This window comes from Homo sapiens, chromosome 22 (assembly GCF_000001405.40).
Source record: "Homo sapiens chromosome 22, GRCh38.p14 Primary Assembly".
NCBI classification, from domain to species: Eukaryota; Metazoa; Chordata; class Mammalia; order Primates; family Hominidae; genus Homo; species Homo sapiens.
The window spans coordinates 43,367,639-43,373,694 of NC_000022.11; the positions used below are offsets into that span (position 1 = coordinate 43,367,639).

General features: G+C 45.7%; 1 annotated feature.

Annotated features, from left to right (window-relative positions):
* Positions 1,995-2,496: an enhancer, noted in NCBI's record as "H3K4me1 hESC enhancer chr22:43765639-43766140 (GRCh37/hg19 assembly coordinates)". NCBI's record gives its function as "activates a minimal SCP1, AML or CMV promoter by ChIP-STARR-seq in primed H9 embryonic stem cells {active_cell/tissue: H9 hESC(primed)}" and the evidence as "EXISTENCE:reporter gene assay evidence [ECO:0000049][PMID:30033119]".

A 6,056-nucleotide genomic window follows, 5' to 3' on the forward strand; every position in this document is an offset into this window, starting at 1 on the left:
TTTGATTTTTTGATATAGAAGGTCTTTTCTAAATAGTTGAATCAGTTCTCCTTTTCCTTCATGATTTCCTCAATCATTTAAAGCTTGCAAGGTTCTCATTCCTTTAGAGTCCGGTTCAATATTCCTTTATTGTTTTGGCCAGCCTAAGATTTGATTTGCTTTATAAATAATTTATTCTTTAGTATATGTGGAAAATGGACTTAAACTTATGTTTCTTTTCATGATGTCCCAACTTCACAGTCTGAATGTTCTTCCCATTGTTCATTGTCCAGAGAAGACACCATTATCACGTATTGAACTGTTTTATGGAGGAAAGCCTGTTTCTCATCTCCCCATTAATCATGTATTTTAATATCAGAGAGGGCTTATTCCCCATCTTTTTCAAAATATTCTTGGGACTTCTCACCCATTGATTTCCCCAAATGAATTTTATTGTGGCTTCTGTGTTCTGTATCCTGCCTATAAAGATCTTTCCTTTCCAAAGATTGTAAGTTCACCTATGTTTCTTTTAGAATTTTTAAGGTTCAATTTTTTGGTTTAAATTTTGGACCCATGTGGAACTGATCTGGGTGTAGGGGGTGAGGTAGGGATTCTGTTTTATTTTTTCCAGATGGCCGCTACCCACTTATCTCTATGCCTTACTTTGAACAATGCACCTTTCCCCTCCGATGTGAAATTCCTTCTCTCATTCACGTGCTGAAATCCTACATATTTCCATCCATTTCTGCACTCGCGTCTGGATGGAACTGTCTACTTCTTTTCCAGGGCTAAACTTTAAAAGTTATTGTACTTTCCTAAGATGTTTTAACATCTGGTAAAGCCAGCCCTCCTCCACTACTTTTGTTTTTCCTCAGAATTTCCCTGGCTGGTCTCGCACGTTTATTTTTCCAGATGAAATTTGGTATCATTTCGTCAAGTTCCAAAAAATAAAAGAAAATAAAAACCCTGTTGGTTTAAGGCTTTTCTTACCAGCCAGTGTAGTGTTTTCACAGATTATTGATATTAACCCTTTGCCATTCATTTGGTTGTCAATTTAGTTCCCCTCTACCCCCATTAGTTTTTTATTCTGTGGTATGGGAGATTTGTTTTTTGTTTTTATATAGTCGTCAATCACTTTTGCTTCTCCTCAAAAAAAAAATCTCCTTAATGATTTTAAAGCTCGAAGACTTCCCATTCCTCCTGAGATCTGGTTAATATTCACTTATATTTTTGACCAGCCCTCCTAGGGTTTGCTTTGCTTGATAAATAATTTATTTTTTTCAGCATCTGTGAAAGATATGAAGAAGGCATCCAAGCTGATTTTTTTTTTTTTTTGAGATGGAGTTCTGTTCTTTTTGCCTAGGCTGAGTGCAATGGTGTGATCTTGGCTCACTGCAACCTCCGCCTCCCCGGTTCAAGCGATTCTCCTGCCTCAGCCTCCCAAGTAGCTGGAATTGCAGGCATGCACCACCACGCCTGGCTAATTTTGTATTTTTAGTAGAGACGGGGTTTCTGCATGTTGGTCAGGCTGGTCTTGAACACCTGACCTCAGGTGATCCACCTGCCTCGGCCTCCCAAAGTGGTGGGATTACAGGTGTGAGCCACTGCGCCCGACCCCCAAGCTGCTTTTATATTGGCTACTCCTTCCATTGTTCTTTGCCCACTGAAGACAGCTTGGTCATGTATTAAATTCATGTACATGAGAACATTTCTCTGCTCTCTGGTCAGTTCCATTCATGCCAGCTCTGCTGTTTAATCAGAGACTTAATCATCTATTTGAACATCTGAGAGGGCTGATTGCGCACATTTCTCAAAATATTCTTTGGATTTCTCACCCTTTTATTTCCCAAAATACCCCAGCCTGCATGATTCATTTGGCCCTCGAAGGAACCCTGAGAAGTATTAATTCCACTAGCTGGATGTGCTGGGGTTCAAAAATTGCTAAGGGCCAGATGAGACGACACCGTTATCATAGCTGTGAGAGGGAAAAGTTTGCCTCTGCATCTGAAACTCCCAGAGGAAGGAGGTTGTCTCCATTACTGAGTTTGACAGGAAGAGAAAAAGAGGGGCGTGGTGGATATGCAGTGGTGTCTAATACTCAGCCTCAGATGATCTGTTGTGGGGGCCATCACTTGGCCCTCTTACGTAAAAGCTGCCGCCCACAGTGAGTCAGTGTGGGGGACATCTGGGAAAGAGGCAGGGAGTCCCATCTGGACTGGGGAGTGGGGACCAGGGTGGGATTGGAGATGGGATGAGGGTCTCCTGCCTCCCTGGGGCACCACTGCTCTGTGGATTCTACTTTGTCTCTGTGACCTCAGGTGCTTGGTGTGTCTCTTGGGGGCCTCTTATGTCCGTGCCCATGTCATTAGCGTGTGAGGTGACAGCCCTCTGCCGCCCCAGCTTCTTTTTTGGAGCACGGGTCTCAGATGAGGGGCTGGCTGAGCAGCTGTGGGAGGACCCCTCATTTGCAACTGACATCGATAGGTCAAGCCCAGCAGCCCCTGAATGAGCAGGAAGATTGGTGCAGCTGGGGTCTTCCACAGGCAGGCGATTCCCTCCCTGCTGGGATCGTCAACCAATCTGGGGCCGTAACTCACACGGGGAACCACCCCCAACCCCCAACCACCGTGCTTGGTGTTGGAGGGCCAGAGGGTGTCTCCCAAGTCAAAGACAAAGTCTCCAGGGCAAACAGGAAAAGCCATGGCTACCCCGTCCCCGGGGCCTCACCTGGCAGCCCTGGCTTGCAGGCTCTGTCTAGGATCCGGGAACAGTGTTTATTTCTTCTCTTTATTTTTAGCTTTTATTTTCATGAAACTTATACAGGCAAATAGCTCTACAAGGTTTGTTAAGAGGAACAGCAGTTCCCTGTTCCTGTCCTTCACCCCCTCCTGTCCCCTCCCCAGAGGCAACTATTTCACCTCCTTTAACCAATTATTTTGTTTTTACCCTGTGTCATTTGCCTCTGAGACTGCATCTTTTTTTTTTTTTTTTTGTGACGGAGTCTTTGCTCTGTCGCCCAGACTGGAGTGCAGTGGCATGATCTCGGCTTATTGTAATCTCTTCCTCCTGGGTTCAAGTGATTTTCCTGCCTCAGCCTCTTGAGTAGCTGGGATTACAGGCGCCCGCCACCACACCTGGCTGATTTTTGTATTTTTAGTACAGGTGGGGTTTTGCCATGTTGCTCAGGCTGGTCTTGAACTCCTGACCTCAGGTGATCTGCCTGCCTCAGCCTCCCAAAGTGCTGGGATTACAGGCATGAGCCACTCTGCCTGGCCTCTGAGACTCCATCTTGATTTTTTTTTTTTTTAGTTGTCAGCCTCATTGGTTGACCTCTGTTTCTGGAAGGTGAGGATATCGCTGCCTCCTGACCCCTACTCACTGTGCGCACCTGCCCCCCACCCTCAGACCTGTTTTTAGGACACCAGCATTGTCAGTGGTGAAGGGCATGGAGTTCTAAGCCACTTTTCCGGGTTCTAGTCCTCCTTCTGCCACTTAGCTGTGTGATCCTGGACAAATTCTTCAGCCTCTTGGTTGATTGCCTTCTACCTGGCCTTGCTTTCAATGAGTCAATTCATGTAAATGGCTTCCAGCAGCAAATAAATGACTGTCCTCTTTGTCAACCTTTTCCGCACAGTCGCACTCCCTACCCCGACCCCAGCAAATCATTTTCGTGGTTTCTCCTTTGCATCGTTCTCTAGACAATTGTTGCTAGTTCAGTCCTGCCCTTTCCTCGCAGGGCTTCGAGATGCACTGGGGTCTTCACGCCCATCTGCCCAGGGAAGCTGGAGCCTGGTGCCCCATGCCTATAGGGCATCCCGCCTCCAGCAACCTGGGATCCCCCTTGCCTTTCTCTTTTTCCCATATCCCATATTTTCCTCTTTCTTGATTTAGCCCTTATTCTAGTGAAGTATCTTCTCTAGTAATCTTCAGAGAAAGCATGTAAGGAAAGCAGTCTATTCTCATTATTCACACCAGTTACGGTCTATAAAGTCACCAAAAATGCTGAATTACCCAACACTAAGCCAATGCTCCAAGAGGGAAATACAGGGTTCCATTCCTATGAGTCTGGGGTCACAGTGTTGTCACCAACTGATCAACACATAACTTTGTTTTATATATATTTCTGTTTAAAGATACCCTATTTAATATATATTGTTGACTCATTAACACTGAGCTCATGGCCAACAGCACTCTAACTCCTGCCTGAACGAAGCTTCTCTAACGTGGGCTTTCCCTGTAAGGCATACCCCAGACTTCCTGCACTTAGGAACACTAGACAGCTGTATTAGTCCATTTTCATGCTGCTGATAAAGACTTACCTGAGACTGGGCAATTTACAACAGAAAGAGGTTTAACTGGATTTACAGTTCCATGTGGCTGGGGAGGCCTCATAATCATGGTAGAAGGCATGGAGGAGCAAGTCCCATCTCACGTGGATGGTCGCAGACAAAGAGGAAAGGAAAATTCCGCTTATAATAACCATAAGATCTCGTGAGACTCACTATCACCAGAACAGCACGGGAAAGACCTACCCCCATGATTCAATTACCTCCTACTGGGCCCCTCCCACAACACGTGGGAATTCAAGATGAGATTTCGGTGGGGACACAGCCAAACCATATCAACAGCCCTTCAGCACTGCGCTTGGGGGTGGGGGTCATTTAAAACAGTGAAATCAGCTGGGCACGGTGGCTCAAGACCAGCCTGGCCAATATGGTGAAACCCTCATCTCTACTAAAAATACAAAAACTAGCCAGGTGTGGTGGCGCTTGCCTGCAACTCCAGCTACTAGGGAGGCTGAGGCAAGAGAATTGCTTGAACCTGGGAGGCGGAGGTTACAGTGAGTGGAGATCACGCCGCTGCATTCCAGCCTGGGTGACAGAGTGAGACGCTGTCTCAAACAAAACAAAACAAAACAACAACAACCAAAAAATCCAGGCCAGGCACAGTAGCTCATGCCTGTAATCCCAGCACTTTGGGAGGCTGAGGTGGGTGGATCACATGAGGTCAGGAGTTCAAGACCAGCCTGGCCAACATGGTGAAACCCCGTCTCTACTAAAAATATAAAAATTAGTCAAGTGTAGTGACATATGTCTGTAATCCCAGCTACTCGGGAGGCTGAGGCATGAGAATTGCTTGAACCTGGGAGGCAGAAGTTGCAGCGAGCTGAGATCGCGCCATTGCACTCGAGCCCGGGTGATAAAGCGAGACTCCATTTCAAAAAAAAAAAAAAAAAAGCCAAAAGCAAAACCAAACCAAAACAAAAAACAATCCAGTGAAATATCAACAAAAAGCACAAAAAATATGAAAAACATGACACTAACTAGACTGCAAAAAGGACACTTGTTTACATCATCAGAGTCAAAACAAGAAGGCAGAGGGTCACCTTTTTCAACCTTAGCTGGAAACATGCACATCAAGTGACTCAAATTTTTGCTGCTGTACGCATGTCTGCAGATGACTGCAAAAGCTGTGTGGATACTAGTTTGGTGGTTACAAATATATTTTATTGATTAAATGAATTCAAAAATATGGAATCCAAGAATAATGAGGACTGACTATATGTGTTTCAAGACCTTGCATGTCTAAAAATCTCTTCATTCTATCCTCTCATTTGACTGATAGCTTGGCTGGGTAAAGAAATATAGGTTGGGGCTAGGCGTGGTGGCTCACACCTGTAGCCCTAGCACTTTGGGAGGGCAGATTGCCTGAGGTCAGCGGTTCGAGACGAGCCTGGGCAACGTGGTAAAACCCTGTCTCTACTAAAAATACAAAAAATTAAAAAATTAGCCAGGGATGGTGGCACGTGCCTGTAGTCCCAGCTACTCGGGAGGCTGAGGTGGGAGAATAGCTTGAACCCAGGAAGCGGAGGTTGCAGTGGGCTGAGATTGTGCCACTGCACTCCAGCCTGGGAGACAAGAGCGAGACTCTGTCTCAAAACAACAATAATAACAACAACAACAACACCACCCAAAGAAACCTAGGTTGGAAACACTTCTCCTTCAGCATTTCATAGCATTGCTCCTGCACCTGCTGGCTGTCAATGTTGCTGTCAAGAAGTCCAGAGCTATTCCTGC